At 33.8% G+C, this 27,145-nt stretch overlaps 1 protein-coding gene across 24 annotated transcripts in view; it reads right to left on the bottom strand.

Annotated features, from left to right (window-relative positions):
* DPP10 (dipeptidyl peptidase like 10) overlaps positions 1 to 27,145 on the bottom strand; it is a 1,403,140-nt gene that overhangs the window by 304,247 nt on the left and 1,071,748 nt on the right. For all 24 annotated transcript variants that reach the window (NM_001321910.3, NM_001399849.1, NM_020868.6 and 21 more), the window contains 1 exon segment: positions 15,562 to 15,636. In NM_001321910.3, coding sequence (NP_001308839.2) covers positions 15,562 to 15,636 — 75 coding nt within the window.

Genomic DNA, 27,145 nt, shown 5'->3' with positions numbered 1-27,145 from the left:
AAAAGGTTAAATTTTAAAAATCTCTCTCTCTCTCTCGCACACACACACAGATACACACACCCCAACACACATAAACACAAAGCTAGAGGAAGTGCTGTTTGAAACTTCTTGGAATGAAATGCAGTAATATGCCTCAATAACCTCTACAAAATTAATATCACTTGATACAGTGATTTATCAGAAATGCAGCCACAGTTTTAAGGGCAAGGATGATCATCGCAACATTGTTTATAATAGTGGGAAATTTTAAATTAACCTAACTCTCCAATAACAGGAAACAGGATATTTTTTGGGGCATGGGATGTTGCCCCATAATTTGGAACATTTTTCTGAAAACAAATACCACAATTCATTTTATAAGTGAATAACTAATAAATACAGGTATAATCCACAATAACCTAATTATAGGTTTTAAATTTATATTCTACATAAACATCATGACTATTAACAACATTCATTATTTAGAAAATTTCCCCTTTCACAGTATCTTTTACAAGATGCCTGTATTTTGCATCCCTTCAATAAATACAAAAATGCTTTTGCTTAGAAATTATGAGGGAGAGTAAATGAACATCTATGCCATTAATTGTTCTCATGGCATCATTCAATCTGCAAACAAAGAAAATGTAAATTATTAATAAAATGCTCTCCCTCAGAATGTGTTACTATACAGGCATACATATTAAATGAAATTCAACTGCAAAAAAGTGCTCTTCTATTCTTTATGAAGAGAAAAGTAATAATAACAAAGTGATATCCTTGGATTGAAAATTGCTAATGTTTTTGTATTTGAAATATTATGGACAGAATTTTTTTATCCAGAAAGAAAATATGATGAAAACCATTGTCTGACAGTATTCACAAGTTTAAGTGCAAAATTATAGGTGCAAAACTAGTTTAAGGTGCAAAATTATGCACGAATAACTTAGATTATTTAATGTTTCTTTATGAAGATCAAAATTCACACAAATACCACTAGCTTTTCCTCAGCCTGTAAGGTATCTCTTATTTTGAAACAAGTCTCTTGAAAAGGAATTAGGAAGATGCAGAAAATGCATATTTTCTCCCAATATAGACAAGCTTTGTTTCCCCCACTTATTCAATTATTAAAGAAACAAACAAATGACTATAATGTGCACATACACTGTACTTGGTGTTGGATTTACCTCACAGATTAAGTTCCAGTTTTAGCCTTAAATGATCCCAAGAGGAAAAGGGAAGAAAAATGTGTGTGAATTTTAATTAAACATCATGAAGTTTAAGTAAGTAGAATTAAGCATCATAATGCAATACTTCAGTCTATTTCAAGTACAGTAGATTATATTTTATATCTTAACAAAAATTTGCTGTGAAAAATAAAGTATAAATGTTTTGACCATAAAGCCTTGGTCATTTTCTGGCCAAGGTCTTTTAAAACTGTGTTGACCTCATGGCTAATTATATTCTACATTTCTTCTTTCCTCAGAAACACTAAGGTCCTTTCTATTTAGAGACCCCCACACTATACACTCTCTTTGAGCTGGTTAATTTACTAACACACAACCTTTAACTGTTTTCCTTTTTAAAATAGGCAGCGTGAAAACAATTGAAAATTAATTAGTATAAACTCCAACTAGGAATCATAACATTGCTGTCTTGGTATAATTAGAAAATATTAGCAAATATTACTTCTGAATTTCTTCTCTGTGTGTATATCTGGTTGTGGTTTTTTTTTTTAACTTGAAGTTTTCTGTTTCTACTAAGAATTATTACTGTTACGGTTCTCTGAAAAGTTATTCCATATTTGATACTTTTCAAAAAAGATACGATTACATGGAACAAAGTCTACTGCTTTGATTGAAATTTGTAGCAAGAAAAATCAAGGTCCATATAAGCTGCAACATTTCAAACTTGACATATTAGTTGGAAAGTCACATCTCTTTTTTCCTGTGTTTATGGTATGATGTATTTCAGAAGTAAAACTGTTATCCTTCTTGGATTAATGGAAAACAGTGAAATTTAACTATTTCAACATAACTCACCCATGGTAGATTTCCTTGCACAATGCCTGTGATGGACAATTATCTACCCATCTTTTGAATATTTCTAGAGAAAAAGGCTCACTGACTTCAACACTAGGCCTTCTATTAGTGAAAAAACAAGTGTTAAGAGAGGGCTTCATTATGTGGAGCCAAAATCTGCCTTCCTGGCACCATTTCATATCAAGGGCCCTAGTTTTATGCTTAGAAATATATCTAACTTCTTTTCTCTGTGATAGCCCTCCAATACTGAATATATCTATTATTCTTCCCATATTTTCCAGAGTTTTCCTTTTCCACAATTACATAATTCCTTCATCACAATTGCTAAATCTTTGAGAATTATGACTGTCTCCTATACAGCCTCTAATTGGCTAGAGTATCCCAGGTGTTTTCCAATAAGCCCTTAGAACACTGATATATCCACCTCCTGTATCCACCGAGCAGCACTGAGCAACAGAAATGTAACCCAAACCCAGCATATGTAAGCTTATTTTCAGTAGCTATGTTCATAGAAAATAAAGAGTAACTGGTTAAATCAATTACTAATATATTTTATTTAACCCAGTATATCCCAAATATTATTTAAACATATCATGAATATGATACATAATTAATATTATGTTTTTCTGTTTTTTATTAAGTCTTCAAAATCTGGGAAGTACAATTTTTACCTCAATTTGGACTACTCACATTTCAAGTCCTCAATAGACACATGTGGCTGGTGACTGCAGTATTGGCACACGGTTCTAGGTAGTTTAATTTTATTAACCAACCTAAAAATTTATCAGTGTTTTTAAAGTTAATGTGACAGCCTGAATTTATACTGAGCTGTGGCCAATAACGTTACTTAAGTTAGTGTGTCCATTACTATCCTTCACGCTACATTTTGGGAGCCAGATTTTTATAAAATGCATGCTTAAATTCACTCTAAACACTGTTAAGTTTAATCATTTGAACTCCAGTCAGCATTGCCACCCCTAGGTTATCTGTAATCTTGATTATATAGATTATCTGTAAATCAACCCTCTATTCTACCTTGCTCATTCAAAACTATGATAAGTATACTTTTATCTATTTATTTTAAACTCATTAAAGTGTATAGAACAAGAAACAGACATGAAAATATTAATAATACATAATAATATAGGTTTCTGATCGATCCATGGAGGCTCTCACATGTAATATCAATTAATCACAGTTCTCTGGATATGGCTATTCAGCCAGCTTCAAAGCCACCTAACCTCACTACACCTAACTAGTATTCAGAACTCTATCGTGATTTCCTGAGGCATTTTCCAAGTCTTCATGCAATTTACTTCCTTTGTTTCAGGATCTGTGTCAAGGGAGAGAGCCATCAGTCATTCTCATCTCTTGAATTTCATGGCCTCATTGCTTCCTTCCCACCTGTAATCACAGCTGTGCCTGTGTGACACACACTAGAGTGCTAGTGATGGTTTATGGGTTTCAAGGCTACAGTGTTGCAGACTCTGCCTGGCTCCCTTGGATTACCTAGACTGGGGGAAGCCTTAAGCCCTCTCATGACGACATGGAAGTAGCCCTGTGGACAGCTACACATGGAAAAACTGAGGTTCTCAGTCAACAACTGGTATCAACTTGCCAGCCATGTGAATGAGCCACTTTGAAAGTATAGCTCCCAGCTCAGCCAGGCCTTCAGATGACTGCAGCCCCCACATCTGGCATCAATCACCTAAGCCTTCGAGTGGGAAATGTACAGCCAAGCCCTTCTAGAAACCCTGATCTGCAGAATCTATGATCACAATAAATTACTGCTTTATGACATGAAGTTCGGCAGATGTGCGTCATTATTAGGTGACCAGAATAAGATCTTTTTACTTAGTATCATAGTATTTTCCTAATATACTACTGCCCAAAGTATGTTTTTTTGTTCTAGACCATACACAGATCCATGAGAAAAAAAAAAAAAAAAACAGTGATGTGTCTCAAGTAAAGTCAGGGTGCAATAACTATGTTTTCTTCCATTTGATAAATTATAATACACTAACTTATTAAAATCTCTCTAAAGCCTTATAATAGAGAAAACTGCTTAACTCACATTCAACCTAATATTTGCCAAATATATAGGGACTCACTTTACTTTTTCTCCATGCTAAGCCTATTTCTACTTTGTGGCCTCCCCATGTGCAAGGGGATTCTTTGCCAGTCAACACACCATAAGGAAATAGGTTGCTTTATTGTCTTAGATACTTATCTCATGATAGTAAAAATAAATAACAGGCACATGCAGGAACCCACTGAACTAAAGAAGAGTCCATAATCTTAATACAAGTATATATAGGTACCAATTCTAAAAACATGTTTCAAATTTACCTGTATGTTGTAAATGAATGCAAAGCTAAAGAAGAAGGTTGGAACCTGCATCTTGCAGTTTAAAATGAGAACATGATATTATTTCTATAGAAATAAACTACCTGTGAATAGATACAAATGATGACTCCATTATGTTTTACAATTAAGGACTGTCTTGTGTAGTAACAGTTTTAAAATAAGTCTCACTAAATAACTCCTATGAGGAGAAACTTACTTTTACTCCATCGCTTGCTAATTCTACTCATCTATTAATCCTAGTGTAATTTTACCAGAGTAATGAAGGCAATTATTTGATATTGAAGGTGTTTATTTTTTTTAAAATAGGTTTACTTTCTCAATGACTTGAGCTTAGATATTTGCACTTAGAGAGTGAATATGAATCACAGAGCTTTCAGTGTAAGAAGGAATCAGAAATTGCTAACATATCACAGATTCTCCTATCCATAAATAATTTTGTTGTTTATGTTTGTTCATTTACCTTAGAAAAAGCATTCGTGTCCTATAAAATAGCATCATAAACCAAAAGGAACCTTAAATTATTTCTCTTTACTGGGGAAGCATACATTTACTTTGCTTTCTAGTGGGCATTTTAGCAATATGCATCAAGAACACTAATTAATGTAAAAAATATATAATCCCATAATTTCAGTCTCATTAATTTAACTGAGAATAAACAAAGACAGATATTTATTAGTGTTCGTTGCAGGACAGATTTTTGTAATAGTGAGAGTGCTAATCTGTCAACTATCTATAAATATTAAAGATATTGAGTTGAATAAATTATGATATCACCACATGAAAAGATGGTAAAGCCATTAAAATAATGTTTTTGAGAAATATTTAAGACAAGGAACAATGTTCATAGTGGAATGTTCATGATAGTAAACTGTGTTATACTATTTTTATAATTTTGTCTATAAGTGGAAAAAATATTACATACTAATAACAATAAATAAGAATTAGATGAGATAAACCAGTACATTAACAGTGGTTTTCTCTAAAAAACGGAGGTGGATAGAGGCATTATTTCTATCTTCTTTTTTTGTGTGTGTATTTTCAGATTCTCTATAATACAGTTATATTATTTCAAAATAAAAAGATGCTATTTAAAAGTATGTTGTTGTATATCTAGAAAACCCCATTGTCTCAGCCCAAAATCTCCTTAAGCTGATAAGCAACTTCAGCAAAGTCTCAGGATACAAAATCAATGTGCAAAAATCACAAGCATTCTTATACACCAACAACAGACAAACAGAGAACCAAATCATGAGTGAACTCCCATTCACAATTGCTTCAAAGAGAATAAAATACCTAGGAATCCAACTTACAAGGGAGGTGAAGGACCTCTTCAAGGAGAACTACAAATCGCTGCTCAAGGAAATAAAAGAGGATACAAACAAATGGAAGAACATTCCATGCTCATGGGTAGGAAGAATCAATATCGTGAAAATGGCCATACTGCCCAAGGTAATTTACAGATTCAATGCCATCCCCATCAAGCTACCAATGCCTTTCTTCACAGAATTGGAAAAAACTACTTTAAAGTTCATATGGAACCAAAAAAGAGCCCGCATCACCAAGTCAATCCTAAGCCAAAAGAACAAAGCTGGAGGCATCACACTACCTGACTTCAAACTATACTACAAGGCTACAGTAACCAAAACAGCATGGTAGTGGTACCAAAACAGAGATATAGATCAATGGAACAGAACAGAGCCCTCAGAAATAACGCCACATATCTGCAACTATCTGATCTTTGAGAAATCTGAGAAAAACAAGCAATGGGGAAAGGATTCCCTATTTAATAAATGGTGCTGGGAAAACTGGCTAGCCATATGTAGAAAGCTGAAACTGGATCCCTTCCTTACACCTTATAAAAAAATCAATTCAAGATGGATTAAAGACTTAAACGTTAGACCTAAAACCATAAAAACCCTAGAAGAAAACCTAGGCAATACCATTCAGGACATAGGCATGGGCGAGGACTTCATGTCTAAAACACCAAAAGCAATGGCAACAAAAGGCAAAATTGACAAATGGGATCTAATTAAAGTAAAGAGCTTCTGCACAGCAAAAGAAACTACCATCAGAGTGAACAGGCAACCTACAAAATGGGAGAAAATTTTCGCAACCTACTCATCTGACAAAGGGCTAATATCCAGAATCTACAATGAACTCAAACAAATTTACAAGAAAAAAACAAACAACCCCATCAAAAAGTGGGCGAAGGACATGAACAGACACTTCTCAAAAGAAGACATTTATGCAGTCAAAAAACACATGAAAAAACGCTCACCATCACTGGCCATCAGAGAAATGCAAATCAAAACCACAATGAGATACCATCTCACACTAGTTAGAATGGCAATCATTAAAAAAGTCAGGAAACAACAGGTGCTGGAGAGGATGTGGAGAAATAGGAACACTTTTACACTGTTGGTGGGACTGTAAACTAGTTCAACCATTGTGGAACTCAGTGTGGCGATTCCTCAGGGATCTAGAACTAGAAATACCATTTGATCCAGCCATCCCATTACTGGGTATATACCCAAAGGACTATGAATCATGCTGCTATAAAGACACATGCACACGTATGTTTATTGCGGCATTATTCAAAATAGCAAAGACTTGGAACCAACCCAAATGTCCAACAATGATAGACTGGATTAAGAAAATGTGGCACATATACACCATGGAATACTATGCAGCCATAAAAAATGATGAGTTCATGTCCTTTGTAGGGACATGGATGAAATTGGAAATCATCATTCTCAGTAAACTATCGCAAGAACAAAAAACCAAACACCGCATATTCTCACTCATAGGTGGGAATTGAACAATGAGATCACATGGACACAGGAAGGGGAACATCACACTCTAGGGACTGTTGTGGGGTGCCGGGAGTGGGGAGGGATAGCATTGGGAGATATACCTAATGCTAGATGACGAGTTAGTGGGTGCAGCACACCAGCATGGCACATGTATACGTATGTAACTAACCTGCACATTGTGCACATGTACCCTAAAACTTGAAGTATAATAATAAAAAAAAATAAAAAATAAAAAAATAAATAAAAGTGTGTTGTTTAATTAGTGATAAATTGATAAATACATTAGTAACTTTCACCAAAAAATGTTGTAAATACTGGCTTCCAAAAATATTTCTTGTGTTTACTTCTTTCCTTCCTTTTTGTCCACCTCCTAGGGACTTTTCAATTTTTGCCTTAACCCAAAAGAAATATTCCAAAATTGATACTAACTTATTTTTAATGCCTTAATATCTCTGTGTAGTAAGGAGAAGGTTACATAGGAAGGCAGTTCAGCAGCAGCAACTACAAACGAGGAAAGGTGAGTATTCTATGGGCACTAGAAGGCAGGAGGATTTCAGGATGAACTCAGAGTCCCACATGTTTGAACACAGTAACTTTCCCAGACTGTGCTTTCTTTGAGTTTGTATTTTTTGAAATATTAGTGAACCCCGAATGTATGAATTTTAACAGCCTAGATAATTCTATAACCAGATTATGTACTCCCCCAGAATTTTTAAATATGTATCTGTAATTGTAAAGCACTGAAGTATTAAGGTCCAGACTTTAATTAGATAATTCACTAGAGAAGAGTTACTTCTTAAAGCAGTAGTGCATGCAGGATGCATTTTACAGGATTACTTCTTAGTTAAAATAGATACTTACCAGAAAAATAATTCTGTACCCAGAGCTATAAAATAGTAGAGACCTAAACTGAAATGAATGCATCTAACTGTAGAAAATAACAATGCTGATCTTTTGCAGAGCATCGAATTTAGAGGACAGATACTACTAACATAGCAGATGTAGCCCAGCTACGGTTGATTTGTTCCCTCTAGTAGACACGATTTAAAGGATTCATTCAACTGTTACTCTTGCATTCGGAAAAAGCTAATTCTTATGCAGATTTATGTCCCATTATGTATAGAGGACAGCTCTAATTCTGCTGAAACAAGAGTAAATTTAATTAAAGTTTCTGATAACAAACATAAGATGTATTAAGAAAGTGGTTGACAGTGTAAAATAGTTAACTAGTCTACTTGACATGGTGTATTTTAAATCCAAACAAGAAAACTATAAAACTATAAATTTGTTTAAAAATTTTAAAAAAATTGATTTCTCCTTACTTCATGTTTGTCCTTAAAAAAATGCGGTAAAGGACTCTTGACTTTTTAAGGATGGCTTAAAAATACAATTGTTAAATAATTCCAATGGACCAATAATTCCAAATATATATGGATAATATATAAAATTACATAGATTTATTGGTTAAATTAAAACTATTTATATACATGACTCAGAATGCTGAAAAAATAATTTAGTCTGATATGTTGACTATCAAAATACTAGATGACAAATATTAACCACAAATATTCTGATCATCAAGGTTTTAACATATCATGATTTGCCATACTTTGGAATGCTTTCATCTTCTTTAAAAGTATGGTTTTAATTTTATGGCATTAAAAGGCATTCCAGAATGATTATTTCATTGACTATTTTGAGAAACAGTTGTAAAGATGCAAATACAAAAATAAAATGTCTAACCACTATGTCTGGAGAAGTATATTAAGTACTGAGTATTGAAAATCATATATTGTTTGATATTGTAATATGTTTATTAAATACATATTGTAGTATGTTTCACTTGCCTTCCAATTAATTAATTAGGAATTAGTTGATATGATTTCAAATAAATAGGAAAATACACAGTTAATCTGTAAAGATAAATAAGAACTTTCTGAAAATGACAAAGTAATCGAAAAGCTAGGGACTTTGGAGCTAAGAAAAAAAATTCACTCCCAGCTCTGCAACTGTGAACTGGGGCCCTTGAGGAAGTTAGTTAATATCTCTAAGTCTGTCTCCTCTGTAAAATATGATATAAACAGCCAAGAAGCGGGACTTTGGGAGGTTTACATTGATAAACACACTTCCACGGCAGATGCACTATCTAAGCACCCAAAAAATGTTTGTGCCCTCTTAAATAATATTTTTTTGAAATAGGTGTCAAAGAAGAAGCAGAGTAATGGATGGGAAATAGAGAGTGATCAGACAAATAATCTATACAATAATGCATTGCTCATGTACATCTGTATTACAATCTAATCAACAGTAGAGTGGATCAATTGTGATATGTGCAATGGAATGGTATATCATAGTGGGAATGTACAATCTGTTATACAATACTTGAAAACTACGGATATATTTTATGAACTAATTATTGAGTAAAATAAGAGATACACAAAACAGTACATAGTGTGTGAATTTACCTAAAGTGCAAAAACAGGCAGAATTAATCTTTACAAATGTAGACAGTGTTCTCCCTTGTGGCTCGTAGTAACAGAATGGAGAACAGCAATGTTTTGCTGCTTTATCTGGGTGATGGCACCATACAGGTGTTTGGTTTATAGAAGTTCAAGCTATCTTCATAGTATATGCAAGCTCCTATAGGTATGTTATATTTCAATACAAATTTTAATATGGATAATTTGAATTTAAACACATATTTTCTTCCAACTTCCATGCACACCCCACTATGCCACCTATAATGAAAACAGATCAAACATTAACCTTGAAGGGTAAATTTGTTACTAGAGCAACATCCAAGGTCAGAAATGAACAGTTGGACGTTAAATCCAGGAAGAAATAATTGTGAAAAACTAAAGAAAAACAGGGTAGATCATTGCTCTTAAATGATATTTTCTATTAATCTTTGTCCTGCATATGGTGAGATTCTGGCTGCGTAGCTCTCTTCTTAGGTAGCGCTCTTGCAGTTTAAGGAATCAGGTCCCTAAACACTGGTTCTCAGTCTTGAATGCATCAGAATCACTTACGCTTGTCAAACCACAGATTGCTGGGCCCACTCCTAGAGTTTCTGTCTCAATGGGACAACAGAATTTGGATTTTTAATAACTTCCCAGGCTATGCTGATGCTGCTATGCTGAGCATGTACATTGAGACCCACTGTTTCAGGAAAAAAAAAAAAAAACTCAATCTTGAATCATATTAGGTAAGTTAGTCTCTGTATTTTCACCAATAAAGGAAGAATAACACCAACTACTGTTGTGTGTTAAGAATAAAAGATATAAGGATTAAGCGTGTACAAGTAAAGACTTTGGCACAAAATACATGCAGTTTAAATAATTAGCTGTTTTTATTTTTATTTCTAATGTTTCCCTTTTCTGAAATCTGGAAAGTCTTCAATGGGTGGAAGAGATCAGTTCACTTAAATTCAATGGTCTTCAACCCTAGCTGCACATTATCTCCTGGGGAGTTTGTAAAACTCCAAAGCTGGGGCTATACCTCAGGCCAATTAAATCAGAGTTTCTGCAGGAGAGGGCCTCAGCATAAACAATTTGTAAAACTCTCCAGATGATTCTAATGCCATAGCCAAGAGTGAGAATGACTGCTTGCCTTATTTATTTATTTATCTATTTCTTTATTTAATTTTTTTTTTTGAGACAGAGTCTTGCCCTGTCACTCAGGCTGGAGTGCAGTAGTCAATCTCAGCTCACTAAAATCTCTGCCTCCTGGGTTCAAGTGATTCTCCTCCTCAGCCTCCAAAGTAGCTGGGACTGCAGGTGTGTGCCACCACACCCAACTAAATTTTTTGTATTTTTTGTGGAGATGGCATTTCACCATGTTGGCCAGGCTGGTCTCAAACTCCTGTTTTTCTATTCATTTTTAGCTGTCTGCTCTTCAAAGCCCAGCATATGATTCTTCTCTAACATGATTACCCTGAGTAAAAGTTTTCCTTATTCTTTGAAACTACCATATATATGATACATAACATGATGTTGTATGCTGTGGATATAAATGTTTGTGTCATATCACCTCTTCCTGGTTATAAATTTCTTGAAGGAGGTAATTCAATTTATGTGAGCATACCCACAAATACACCCTATAATATACAGCCCAGCAATTGCACCTGGGACATAATTAATAAATAAAATGAATAAATAAATGAAATGATATAAAATGGTGAAATAAAGTTTCTAAAATTTATTTAAATGCTAGCATTCTTTCACCTCCAGTTATTTTGTCATAAAGTATCTTTATTGTTCCTTGATAAGAAAAAAAAGACCATAAGAATATGAAGACTGGTCCATAATTATGTTTATATTGTTAATTATATTTTTAAAAGTTTGTGCCCTATTTTGTCCAAATACTCAAAGTTAACCTAGTTTTATGTTCCTTATTCCACATTTTAAAAACATAAACCTAAATTACACAAAGTTACTATTTAAAAATAAGATGAAAAAGCAGTTTCAGTTTCTGTGTTTAGAGAATGGTTATTGTGACACTATCAGGGATGATCTGGCATAACCTAAAACAGTTTTACTTTTCATAGACAGTTAACCAGCTTCCCTGAAAACAAATAGTAAAAATTGTTCTTCTAGATAGAAATCAACTGACTTGGACAAGAATACAAAAGTTCTCAAACTAATTTCACTAGTTTATTTAATAATTGATCATTTTTTACTACTTTTAACTATTTTCATTCACTAATCTTTAAAAACTGTATCAGATTTGCATAAAACTATAAATGTGGAAATGCATACTTAAATCTTTTTACCTCTTTCCAGTACCTTGTTCGGGGTAAAAGATTTCAATGATCTTGCATAATCCATACACTTAATAAAATAAATTGAAACTGAATTAAAAAAAAAAAAAAAAACTTTTGCCACCAGGCATGTTGGCTCACACTTGCAAGGCTGAAGCGGGTGGATCCCCTGAGGTCAGGAGTTCAAATCCAGCCTGACCAACATGGTGAAACTTTATCTCTACTAAAAACACAAAACTAGCTGGGCGTGGTGGTGCATGCCTGTAATCCCAGCTACTCAGGAGGCTGAGGCAAGAGAATCACTTGAACCTGGGAGGTGGAGGTTGCAGTGAGCAGAGATCGTGCATTGTACTACAGCCTGGGCAACAAGAGTGAAACTCTCGGCCTCCCTCCCACCGGAAAAAAAAAAAATTTGCCTTATTTTAGGACTTTTTAAAAAATTACAGCTTTTTCAAGTTAAAATCTTTTATTTTGACATAATTATTTTTACATGCCATTATAATAAATAATACTGAGAGATCACAGGTGTTCTTCACCCAGTTTTCCCCACCGATACTATCTTATAAAACTATAAGAAATCCTGGTCAAGTAAACAACCAGGTCAAGAAAACAACAAGGACATTGACATTTATATAATTAAGATACAGAGCATTTCTATCTCCACAAAGATCCCTCTTGTTGTCCCATAAAACAAAAAAAGCTGCTCTCATTTCCCTCCTTTTCTCCTGGAAACTACTAATCTCTTCTTCATTTCTTTAATTTTGCCATTTTGAGAATGTTATATAGATGAAATCATACAAACAATCATATTTGGGACTGTTTTTTTTTCACTTGGCATAATTCCGAAGATTTATCCATGTTTCTGTCTACATTGAAAGCTTGTTCCTTTGTATTGCTGAATATTTATTACATGGGATGAATGGACCACAGTTTATCTAGCCATTCATCCTTTGAAGAACATCTGGGCTGTCTCAGTTTTTGGCTATTATAAATAAGGCTGCTGCAAATATTTGCATACAGGTTTTTGTGTGAATACTTTTATGTATCCGGGATAAATGACTTGAAGGAATTGTCCAGTGAAATTTAATTGCTGGGTCGGATGGTAGTATATGCTTAGTTTTTTTTTTAATGTTTAAATAAATGTTGGTTTATTTATGTGGTATAATTAGATTTCTTTTTTTTGGTTTTTATTTATTTATTTATTTATTTATTTTTATTATACTTTAAGTTCTAGGGTACATGTGCACAATGTGCAGGTTTGTTACATATGTATATATGTGCCATGTTGGTGTGCTGTACCCATTAACTCGTCATTTGCATTAGGTATATCTCCTAATGCTATCCCTCCCCACTCCCCCACCCCACAACATTTTCTTAATCCAGTCTATCATTGTTGGACTGTAAACTAGTTCAACCATTGTGGAAGACAGTGTGGCAATTCCTCAGGGATCCAGAACTAGAAATATCATTTGACCCAGCCATCCCATTACTGGGTATATACCCAAAGGAATACAAATAATGCTGCTATAAAGACACATGCACACATATGTTTATTGTGGCATAACTCACAATAGCAAAGACTTGGAACCAACCCAAATATATGCTTAGTTTTTTAAAAAACTATCAAAATATCTTCCAAAGTAGCTGTACCATTATACATTCCAACTGCAATGTATGAATGATCCAGTTTCTCTGCATGCTTGCCATCATTGGGTGTGGTCACTTAAAAAAAATTAACCATTCTGATAGATTCGTAGTGATATTCTATTGTAGTTTCAATTTGCATTTACCTATTGGCTAGTAATGTTAAAATATTTTCATGTACTTATTGCCATCTGTAAATCTTCAGTGAAATGTCTCTTCATGTCTGGGCCCACTTTCTGATTGTATAGTTGTGTTTTTGTTATAGTTGTTGTTTTTAACCGTTCATTTTTAAGAATTCTTTATATATGAATGTTGATCCTTTGTCACACATGGGAATTTCAAATATTTTCTTCTAGACTGTAACTTGTATTTTTAGCCTGAAAACAGGGTCTATCATGGAACAATAGTTTATCCTCCTTTGGACTGTGCTTTTGGTATACAGTTTAAGAAATTTTTCCCTAGCCTTAAATCCCAAACATTTTTTTCTAAAAGTTTTATAGATTTATACTTTACATTTAAAAGCATGATCCATTCTGAGTTTGTATAAGGTGTGTGGCTTAAGCCAATATGATGTTTTTGTTTTTTGTGGGCTTTTTGTTTTTATTTTTTGCCTATGGATATCTGATTGTTCTGGCACTAGTTGTTGAAAAGACTGTCCTCCATTAAATTGCTTGTGCACCTTTGCCAACAATCTATTAGGCATAGTTGTGAGGGTCTATTTCTGGGTTCTCTCTTCTCTTTCATTGATCTATGTGTTTGTCCTACTGCCAGTTCCAGTCTTCATTACAATAGCTCCTGAAACCTGATTTTTTAAAAGTTCATGATCAGTTTAATATAGCAGACTTTTCAAGCTTAGATTTTTCAGATAATGTTATGTTAGAAACTTTTTAGCATAATATTTTAGTCTATAAATGTCAAGTATTTTTCTTACTATAACATATGACTTACAAAATCCCAATGAATAAAGATAACTCAAAGCAAAAGATAAGACAACAGGCCAACATCTATACTAGGAAAAGAGGCCTTTGACTAAAATCCCTCTGTCTTTTACAGCATAAATTACTTAAGTCAAAAAATATAACCTTAAAAATATAGCACATGTATATTCCAAAAGACTAAAGCCATCAAATAGCAGTTCTTTCGAACTGTGAAATTCCATGTGTTCAAAAGGCTTTCAAAGCATTATATGAGGCTTCCTGCCTTAAGTTCATAAATTTTTATTGTTCGTCTTAAAGCTCATAAACGTCCTTGAATGATTTCCAATCATTTATTCTTTACAGATACTAATCTGCTGAATTGGCTTTCCAACATTTACTTTGCTTTTTAATCGTGCAAATGATACCTAAGTACAAAACACTCAACAACCATACATATTGCTCTAATTGTGCTTTAGGGCTCACATGGAATAAGGAAACACTAATTTCAATTAGAACATTTTATTTGTTCAGAATTAATTGCTTGGCTTGCCCCATTTGCAAAATTTTCTACAACCCCAAGCTGACAATCAAATACCAGTAAAGAATCCCTTGACCATAATCAATGTTTTCAGCAGTTGCCTTCCCAATATACACATCTGAAGCTCTAGGCACAGCCACTAGGAAAGTCTCTAATCTGTACACACATGAAACACTCAAGTATATGGTAAGGCTTATCTTGAAACTTTCACAAGCCCGCATTTGTTGGATTTGCTAAACTCTGCCACATTCTCCTCTGCCAAGAGATGGACTTGGATCAGCACAGGCACTGGGCAAACTGTCCCAATTATTTGCTGTGCAGATATGGAAGATGTTTGGACATTATCTTCAAACATCTTTTGTGCAAAGTAGTCATTACTGTCCTCCGGTAGTTACTAGACATGCCAGATTTTGCTTAGGTGAGTTATAGCTGAGTAAAATTATGCATTGTCACCCCAATGCATCACAAAGAAAAGTATTCTCAAAGAAGATCACTCCTTTACCTGTTTGACATCATATGCCAGAAGGACATATTTTAAATCTGGTGAAACTGAATGTCTTGATGCTTTGAAGGTTACCTAGAAAAAGAAAAAAAAACCAGTTATATTTAAAAACTTCTTAACATGAATTTGGATGTATAAATGTAAAAAAAAATCAATTTTCATAGCACTATAAAATGGCATTCTCATTTCTTTTATATTGTATACATATTTGCATGTATGTATGTATGATTATTCAGATGAATATAAAAAGCTTAAAGAGGACATATTAGACATTTCAGTAAGAACAGGTTTGCTAATATATCTTTCTATATGTTATCTCTTAAAGAATATGTTAATATTTTTATTATTTAAAAAGTTCAAAGGCCTATTGAAATTCCTGAGTAACCAAAATGCTTTTATAATTTGCATGCTAGATTAATCAAAAGGAAAAGAAGTATTGACATTCTGTTTGTCATAATTTTCTGTCTCTGTGTTTTTGTATTCTTACTGGTTGAATGTTTATATTTAAAAAGATACTAACATTAAAGACAGACTCTCTTTAAAGGAAATCCCCAGGGTGAAACAGATTAAAACACAAATACAGAACATTGCATTTGATGTCAAACAAAAACTACTACACTGTACTTGACTAATTTTGAGCCTATAATCTAATAATTGAACAAATTTGAGGACAGAAGGAATTTAAACTACACAATGAAACAAATACATTCAAGGTAGAAAAAAGATTTCACTTGAAATAGAGATATTTGTCTAATTCACGTCTAAAGAGAGGGCAAGCACATTGAGTTGATGTGTGAAAAAACTCCAAAATAGAAACAAAAAAACACAAAATAAATAGTATAAAATTTTAAGCATAATAGATACTTTGCATGGTATTTGCAGAGAAATACGTGCATAAACAATTGTGCACACCTTATAGTTTCCATAAGACTGCTCTCTATAAAGTCCAGAAAAGTGTAAAGTCAGAGTTTCTTTGTTTTGTTTTTGTTTGTTTGTTTGTTTGTTTTACATAGGGACCCCAAAACACAATGGATAGGATAAGAAATTCAGACTAATCAATATTTGGCAAGTTTGGGTGGTATAATAAAATATATATTTGGTCTTTTCTCTGGTTCTTGGCACAGAGCTCCAAAAACCCTTGAAATTTCCTAAATGATAGAAATGTCTTTTGTTATTCATAGCAAACTTCTTTGCACTTTATTCGATTTCATGCTAATGCGACTGCAACATCAGAGGACTCTTTGTGAGGGGAGGCGTTAGCTTATAGTTTCAGGATTAAGCTGGTCATCAGATCACATCAATCATGCGATTACAAGTTTAGAAATTTCAGCCCCACTCTAAGATCTGGTAGGAGAGAAGAGCTGGAGATCAGAGTTCAGCAACTGGCCAGTGATTGAATAAATCATGCCTAAGTGATGAAACCTTGCTTAGAAACTCTGAATGATAAGGGTTGAGGGAACCATCTGGTTGGTAAACATATGGATGCATTGGGAGGGTGATGTACCCCAGTCCAAAGAGAAAGAGCCTCCTGTGCTGGGGACCCCTTCAGACATCACCCCATATATCTCTTCATCTAGCTGTTCATTTGTACCCTCTACAATAAACTGCTACTCATAAGAATAGCTCTTGTCCGAGCTCTTTGAGTCATTCTAAGAAATTCTCCAGCCTGAAAAGGGGTAATGAGAACCCTCACATTTGTAGCCAGGTTGGACATAATTCAGTACCATTGGGACCAGGGACTGGCAGCTGGCATCTGAGGTGAGGACAGACCAGGGGAATTGAGCTCCTTAACTGTGGGTGTACGCTAATTCCTGGTAATTAGTCTCCGTATTGAATTGAATTGTAGAGCACTCAATTGGTATCAGAGAATCATTTTTGGAATGACATAGGTTATTAATTCCTGAGCCAGATATGCAAGAGAATGGAATGGTCAGCGAGACATCACCATATGGCAATGCTAAGGTATGGGGGTTTACACCTATCTTGTACAATCTACATATAAGGCATTTTAGAAGAAGATAACAACATTCACTGGCAACAATTCATGTCAAGAATTTTGTTTTTTAGTTTTTAAAAGATCCATTTAAATAACCATGAAAATAACAACATTAGCAGCTACCACTGATCAGTCATCTACCATGTGGTCTGCAAGTTGTTAGGAACTTTGCAGTTATCAATGATTTTAAACAGTCTTCAGGGCAATACTATGATACGACCTAATTCTCTCTCTCATTACTTTATTGTATATTGAAATTTGATAGAAATTAACCTATGGGGAATTTGGGGTGACACTGGATACACAAAGTATCCAACATTATAGTATCAGGAGGTGTATTGTTTTTAAGGAAATGTTCAAGGGGACAGTATGAAATGGTACGCTGTTATGTAAAGACTGATAGGGCAATGTCATCATTCTTGTCCTACAGGGATTAGAAAATTCCAACGTTGCAGTTGTTACACCTTTCTCAAGGTCAGAGAGAAGCATACGTAACAAGACAATCCAGGAGGGCCTCTTTTCATAAGCCTTACATTATCTCACTAGCAGGAGGGTTTTTTTTTTTTTTTTTTTTTTTTTTGAGAGCTTCTCTGACTAAAGTCTGAATTAATTTGAAGGAAATCTCACCTCCCTCATCCTCATCCACCCTCATGTGATGTTCCTCACACAAATTAACTTCACGCTTTCACAGGTGCGTCTGTGCCTCCGGTAACAACGTCTTAGTATCTTTTACAGTTCCTACAATTACCCAGTCTGGCACTTTATTAATTATCCCTCTACTGCCTCAAGCTTATGCAGCACACAAACTGGGAAATTTTCCAAATATCTTTTCCGGGGCCCAAGCTGCTGAATCTTCTCTGAAATTAAAGAGTCGTGGGCAGGTCACTGATGCTGCAGAGAAACTTACTGATGATACACGAATAAGAAACGTATCTCGGCAGCTTAGTCAACACGCCAGAAGATGTTGGAAATCTTAGGTCAATCCCTCTTAGTGTATGCCTTTAATGTTATTATTTATTGCATTTGGGGTATTCTTTCTTTCAGCCACAGGAGACATCTTGGTCAACACTGATTCTAATTGTAGACATTAAATAGTTCTGGTTTAATTTCAACTTAATATGACTTCAAATTGTGGTTTGGGGAAGTTGATTATTGCCAATAATGCTATTACAGTACCTTCATATTTAACAACTTAATTACTATTGAAATGAAAGGATGCAAAAGTAATTTCCACATGTGTTCATTGCCATTACTCAGCAATGATGCCTGCCTGTCCAGTTTTCGACATCCAAAATAGTACAAAGGGCATAAAAATGCATGAATCCTGCCATCTATGTACATTCTGTTGAAGGCAAGCAAGATATGATAAACAGAGTAAAGCAAATATGCAGGTGATTAACTAGATGAATTAAGCAAGAAAGACAAGGTATGTGATCAAGTAGAGAAACAAATGTATGTTTTCCGGCAGCTTGGGAACATTTGGTGGTGCCTGTTTTGTACGTATCATTCCATTCAAGCGAATCTTATGTGTTGAACATTCACTGTACAACAAGCCCCCAGGCAGACACTGAAGGTGCTACAAAGTTGGGAAACCAAACCCACTAGGATGTTTCCCTTTCCATATTGTTCAGGATAAGATGCATGTCATGAACCTCGTTAGTCACTGGTAGAGCAAGGGTCCAAAACATGGTTGCTTGAAACCACTGGGTAAGCAGGGTAAGACTGAAGCTGTCTGTGTAAGAATCACAGAGAGGCGGAGTAATCAGACCGCCTATTTAAAAGAGCACAGTAGCTCCTCAGCTCCAGATACAATGTCCTATAGAAAAATACACAGTATTGCTAGTTTTCCATTTTTTTCAAAAAAGTTAGAAAGCAAAATTTAACTTATAATTTCATAATTTTAAAATTATGATTCAATCCTAAATATACTTGGGGGCCAGATTCTGTCTGGAGCCTACAAGCTTGCCAGTTTTGAATTACAACCTACAATATGAGAATAAACTTCAAAAAATGCACAAGTAGCTTAAAAACAATTCTTGGGAAGATGAGGGATGATTCCATAGATTACTGCTATTATGTATGAAGTATGCATTATTGTCAACATGAATATGCCAGTGCTTATTACTGTTTTCATAAGTGGTAAAACTGAAAGCCAAGAAAGAAGCAAAATCAGGTTTGAATTTAGAACTATTACCTTGGCAACTGGGTGAAAAACTAGTTAGATTTGATGACATCTCGAGTTCATGAGAGATGGTAAGAGGCTCATGACAATCCAAGAAAGCAATGTTACAAAGTTAAGGAAGAAGCAGAGGCAAAGAGTGAAAGGGACATGTACAGGGGAGATTGTGAATAAAATACAAAAAAAAAAAAATAAGGATTAGATTTGAAGATGGAGAAAGAAGAAAGTATACAGAATAACTCCAGGTTTTCAAGTTTTTATCATTGGGTGAATGTTGCTTTTGTAACATTCTCACTGGAGAAAATAAAGAAAAACAGGCATATTTTGAGGAAAGTTTTAGACATTCGAATTTTATATACATTATTGTTATCGCTCCTGAAGGATAGCCAATAGGAAATGTGCAGGATTTGTGGATAAAAAGCCTGGAGTTTAAGAGAGATGCCAGAAAGCCTCATCTTTTATCATTTATACAGAGTAATAGATGAAAGTTTATGTTCCACGTAAATCCATGCCCTCTAAAGAAAAGGAACAAGTTCCCCAAATGACATGCTCTACCGGGTGGGCCAGTAATCATGCAGTTATGAACATGGTGTACCATTGCTTGTATTCTTTAAATGTGCATGTTTTCTTTTTCTTGTACCTTTGTTCAACTTTCTCTACTTGCTATACCACCTTCACCTTTCCCTTTTCCTTACTCAAATTGTGTTTCTCTGAAGGATCATTCTAATTCTTCTCCTTTAAGCCTTCCCTGTCCTTCTTAGCTCAAGTGATTCATCTGACCTCACATGTATTTAATTACACGTGCAGTTCATCTAACCATTGATCACTGTTTCGTGATTGCACTTCTAGGTTGTTTGGAACTGCAATTTACATCTTTTATTGCCACGGTAATGTCCCTATTAAGAGGCCCCATTACAATGATTCACTTTTGTCAGAAACATTATAACTAGAGGTAGAAAATGAGATAATGATGGTATTCCAAGATGTCAGATATTAAAGATCATAGCAAGAAATCATTAAACACAAACTTAAATGTCAGAAGTGTCAGAAAACATAAAATATTCATTTGCATGACTTGAGACTGAGAAAAGACTGAGTGAAGGCAGAATGAGAGATGCAGTTACAATTAATACAAGTTGGTATAAAGGACTTGGTTGCCTTAACATTGAGAAACGGCAGAACCTTAGGAACTGTGTAGTAGGGATGTGTATTGTTCTAGACCTTGGAATAAGCTGGTAATAAAAATATCTAAAGACATCTCTATTTACAAAATTAAAAAAAAAAATCATGCTCCAGGAGCTTTGGCTGAATAATTCTGAAAGTATAGATGGGTACATTTTTAACAGATAGTGAATGATGGAGACAAAAATGTAAGTCTTCTTGGATCCTATGATATTTTCCCTGCTCCCTCAACCTCCAGCCCATCAAACTCCCTAAATATTCACACACATATCCTTTATGTTTTGTTTTGTTTTGTTTTTTGATGGAGTCTCGCACTGTCACCCGGGCTGGAGTGCAATGGCGCTATCTTGGCTCACTGCAACCTGTGCCTCCCAGGTTCATGCAGTTCTCCTGCCTCAGCCTCCCGAGTAGCTGGGACTACAGGTGCCCGCCACCACGCCCGGCTAATTTTTTGTATTTTTAGTAGAGACGGGGTTTCACTATGTTGGCCAGACTGGTCTCAAACTCCTGACCTCATGATCCACCTGCCTTGGCCTCCCAAAGTGCTGGGATTGCAGGCGTGAGCCATGACGCCCGGCCATCCTTTATGTTTAATTTATTTAGGGTATAACTTCCCTCACTACTCAATCTCATTATTAGTTTTTTGATACCTGACAAAAATATTTAGAAAAGCCATCTATCATTTTGGAAAGATGTTAATTTTGAAACATGTAATTAAGTATATATTATGAAAATGCTTCTTTCATAGTGCAGTCCATAAATGACCAAATTCCCTGGTTTGAGCATGAGGAAGGATTTTAGAAAGCCAGTGGACCATAAGTGGAGGAGAAGAGGGAAAAAGATTACGATCTAGTTGAAAAGAAGAAAAGGGAAATCAAGAGAAGCTGGGAAAGGAGGCAGCAGTCCCTAGAATGATGCAAAAGACACACTCTCTTTCACTGTCTGGATTTAAGAACAGAAAAGAAGCAAATAGCTTTTATAATTTAGCTGTAAACAAAGGCTTGATTGTTCTCTGTAGCTATAGCTGGCTATATATGCAGAAAATTTTAAAATCAATTTTTTTTACTGTGTATTTTTTCATGTTCTCTTTTCTTAGCTGACTAATTAATTATGATCATGCTTAAATTATATCTCTTTCCTGACATCTGCAATATCTATATTTTGTAAACATAATAGATGCTCTCTCTATATATATATTTTCTTGTTACCATGCATTTTGATATTGGAGTATTTAATAAAACAACCCAATGCAGAAAATGCCATGATACAACTACGTAATTTTTATGAGTATTGAATCAATACCTACTAATCCATATAGACTGACACACATATATTTTTATTGCTCAATAAATGTAAACAGCCAAAATAATATTCTATTCATTTACATCATAGGCCATACACTAAAACATTTAAAAAGCAATTTTTATTTTTCGCAGAAAGTGGAAATTAATGATCACTGAAATCTATTAATAACTTAAAAAAATAGGGCAGAAAAGGTGAATTTGAGAGTCATGCCAATATTTCTCTACCCAACACTTTAATAAATTGGAAAAGTTATGGGCTGATGAAAGAAGAAAAGAAATATTGTAACTTCCATATTTATGCAAATTATTTATGTGAAGTTCAGTTTGTGCTGGTCTAATGATTCTTCAAATTGTCTTAGTGCTTTATAATCATCCTATATCAAGTATATATATATTTTTAAATGGTGCTGTGACCTTCAAGCACAGCTGCATTAAAGAATACAGCATATAAAAGCTATGGAAGTCCTAAAAAATTTGACATTAGAATTTCGGTATGAGTTTTCCTCACCATGGCCTTATACAATGTGTGTAACATAATACTTACAAGATGAGTAGACCGGAGCTGCCCAGTAGAAAGTTACTTAATTTCATTCTTGTTCTGATAGCCCATCAGGCACATTTTACAGAGTATAATTTCATAAACAAAAATAATATAATTATTATTTTAAAACACGCATATTTTAAGTATTTCAATTAGTAATATGATTTTATTTCTAGTGTAAGAAAAATAATGGTTACCAAAAGCTTTGCAATTCCCATATTTACAAAAAGAAGGGAAACTATAATGTCCAATATTAAGTAAAAAAACTTTTTTTACCATGGCTGAATTTTCTTTTTATGAAATAGAAACAGAAAAATAGTAGTGCTTCAAAGACTAAATCTTCTTGACAGCTGATGGTTCAAAGGCTCATTTTAGGTTTATATAACATCATTAATTTAGCATTATAATTAATAATTCCAAAAAATAGGAGAAAACATAGGTTAACAAATAAAAAAGATATTTAATTGTGCCAGATTTGATATATTCATATATATTCCTCAGTGATACCATATTTGATATTGCTACAGTTTCGATGTTTGACTCCTTCAAACCTCATATCGAAATTTGATCCCCAGTGTTGGAGGTGGGGCTCTAATGATAGGTGTTTAGGTCATGGGACAGGCTTCCTCATGAATGGCTTGGTGCCATTTTTATCATACTGAGTTCTTACTCTATTAGTTCTCATGAGAGCTGGTTGTTAAAAAGAGCCTGGCACGTCCTCTCTCTTTTTCTTGCTTCCTTTCTCACCATGTTATCTCTGCACATGCAGGCTGCCCTTTACCTTCCACTATGAATAAAGCAACTTGAAGCCCTCACCAGAAGCAGATGCCAGGGCCATGCTTTTCGCACAGTCTACAGAATCACTAGCCAAATAAACATCTTTTACGTAAATTACCCAGCCTCAGATATTCCTTTACAGCAATACAAAATGAACTAGTAGATAAGACAGATATCTATTTAGCAGATAAGACAAATATGAATTAATAGATAAGACAGATATCTACTCTATCCTTATCATTTTCTCTCTTGAATTGGATTAATTGCAGCTTTTGTCTCTTCACGTATTGTCAATCGTGATAGATTTAGCAATTACAAATTTAATTCCCAATTAAATTTAAATGTAAGATAAACAATAAATATATGGTAATATATGTAAAGAATGGCATATCATATAACCAAGAGAATGACATAAATAGAATATCTTGTAGTTATAAAATAACTGGACTACAGGTTAAATGCAAATATGCATGAATCAGTAACAAAATGCTGAGTGATAAAGGGAAGTATAAGATGATCATGGACTACCTGATGCCTCTTTCAAAAGTTCAAGACCAACTAAGATTAAATTATACATCATATAGGCAAACATATATATATGTATCAAAGCAAACTGAGTTAGACATTAACCAGAAACCCAAGGATATAAATAATTTACATAGTGAATTAATTTAAAAGTTGGGTTTTCATTTACTAAACTTGCACTTTAATTCTCCAAGGTTGAAAGCCATGCATTCTACAGGTCATTTTATCAGAAATATCCATTAATAGCTCCTAAGCACAGTTGAGGAGACCAGTGGTTGTTTGCAACTATGACTGAATAAACCTCCCTGTTCCTGTTTCCTGAAATACACGTGCAATTGCTTCCTTATGGTATATACCTAGGAAGGAATTTTTAGATTACAGGGCATGTGAAAGTTATACTTCACACAATAATGACAAAATTTTACCCAAAGTAAAAACACAAATGACATTCCTGCTATCAAGGAGTAAGAGGCTCTATTATTCCACAGTCTTTCCAATACATGGTAACATCAGGGTTAATCTTTGCCAATAGGATATGTGAAAAATACTATCTTCTTGTTGATAAATATTCCTGTTTGTGAATTATGTTAAGCAGCTTTTAAATTTATCAACAATATTTTTTGATAAAAAGTCCATTTATATTTTTTGTTCATTTTCAATTGATTTGGAAGAGTTTTTACATATTAATTACATTAACATTCTCTAAGTTAACTAAGAGTTTTCATTATGTCTTCATAATTTACAACTTAGCATATTGGTATGCTAAAATATCTCCATCCTCTAATTTTAACATGAAATTATAACAGATACAGGATGCAAGCAACAAAAAATATAAGGATCTGACCATTAAGAAGATTCTGAATGTGCAATTCACTTGGAAAAAAAAAAAAAAAACAAAGAATAACAAGGCTCAGGTTTTCAGCTTAGAATATCAATATTTCTTGAATATATTAACCGATGTAACATTATACCTCCTGTTCGGGACTCCTAATAATAGATTGATTTGCTGTTTCCTGTTTATTTGTCAGTATCCTTTTGATAAGCAGAGATATCATAAATGACCCTTCCATGCCAAAGCAAATAACAAAAATAAAGGAAAAGAATAATTTTAGATTTACATCCCTGGTGGCACTTTCTGCTTAGTTGGGGAAAGAAAGAAGGCCTATAAAATCAAGTCCAATTTAGTGACAATGACAATAAGAAACAATCAAGAGCTGCCTCCAGATTCAATGTCTTGAGCAAAATCTCAAGCTCTGAAGTAAGAACCGGGTTCTATTTTACTGTCTCCCAAGAACATCTGCAAACACTGCTGATCTCCTCAACTGTGCTTAGGAGCTGAGGCAGACATTCACTAGTTGAGTTGTCATGCACTAAACTTGCATTTTTATGGCCCAAATCCAAAAGCCTTTTCTTGTATTGTCCACTTTCTCAGAAATGTTCACCAATAGCTTCAATTTTTTTGTGAAGTGTGTAGAATGCTAAGATAAATCAGTTTTATGCATGTTTTTCAATGTCCAAATAGAGGCTGAATTAATCCTAAGGCTGGAAGAAGGTGTTCAGTGTGTGTGTTTATTTTTTCATTATTCATTTTATTTCATTTTAAAAACTGAAGGAAAATTTAAGGGTAATATTTCCAACTCTTATAGGGTAGATGATTCCTCCAATTTTATTAAACAGGTGTTTATAACTGAATGAGTTAATTATAGACATTTACTCACAACTGTTCCCATTGTTCTCTCTTCCTTTACATTCATTCATTTCTTCTTTCAGGCCAGTTTCAACAGATAAAGGTTTATTAAGATATGTGAAACACAGAACATCCTTTCAGTGGACTTTACAGATATTAATGAATGAATAATTCCAGTTAGATTAAGACTAAGTACAAATATTTTTTTAAAATGTTCCTGCCATGAGTGTCATTTGCAAAGTCCCAATATGAAAGACTTATGCACAGGAATTCAAACACCAGAAAACAACAATGGCCAATGCACATATAAAAAGATGATTCTCAACCTCTCTCATAATTAAATCATTGTAAATCAACATAAGGATTAAATTCTATCTTTTATCAGCCAAATTGAAAATAACTAAAAGGTTGAACAATACCCAACAACAGGAAGAGTGGACTAACAGAGAGTATCATACACTATTGGTGGGTTTGATTAATGAAATTTGATATTATCTAATAAATTGCAATATAAACTTTCTTTGACTCACCAATACACTGGAATATATTTAGCCTACATATATATTTGAAATATGCCTGCTTTGCTGTTTGTTTATGTTTGTTTTGGAGCAGTAATGTAATAGAAAAATATTTAAACCAGTGGTAATACATCATACAAGAACACTTTATGGTGCTATTACACAATTTTTTTTGTTTTAAAAAAGTTCATATAAAAAGCTCTTCAAGATACATTAAGTGGATAAAAAGTATAGACCATATGTACTGTTGAAATTAAATATAATGTAGACGTATACACTTACATATACACATACACACACATATAAATGTATATATTATAGAATATTATATTGTTTATGTATAGATCCATGAAGATATATACAAACATATTTCTGTAGAAGATTTTTGACAGATACAAATATTTACATGGCTTCATTCAAAAATGGGTACTGAGTTATGAAGGGGGAATTTTTTATGATATATACATCTGCAACAGTTCTATCTAACAGAAATTTCTGTGATGATGAAAATGTTTTATCTCTACGATGTACAATGTAGTAGCTGTTGGTTTCATTTAGCTATTGAAAACTTGTAATGTGGATAGTGTGACTGAAAGATGGAATTTTAAATTTTACATGATTTTAATTAATTAAAAATTAAGTAGCCACATGTATCTAATGAACTTCATATCAGATAGTGTAAATATTTATATTTTACAATATATGTTTTCATTATCTTGTTTTAAAAAATGTCACTGGAAAACCCTGAGAGTAATATTTAGATTATTAGACCATGTTTTATTAAAATTATAATTTAAAGTTACTATTTTAAGAGACACATATAAATAATGTATAGAGTGAGACATATCCAATATTTAAAAAGAAGGAAAACCATA

This window comes from Homo sapiens, chromosome 2, assembly GCF_000001405.40.
Source record: "Homo sapiens chromosome 2, GRCh38.p14 Primary Assembly".
NCBI classification, from domain to species: domain Eukaryota; kingdom Metazoa; phylum Chordata; class Mammalia; order Primates; family Hominidae; genus Homo; species Homo sapiens.
Note: the sequence above shows the minus strand (reverse complement) of the source record. Positions and strands in the feature narration are given on the sequence as shown.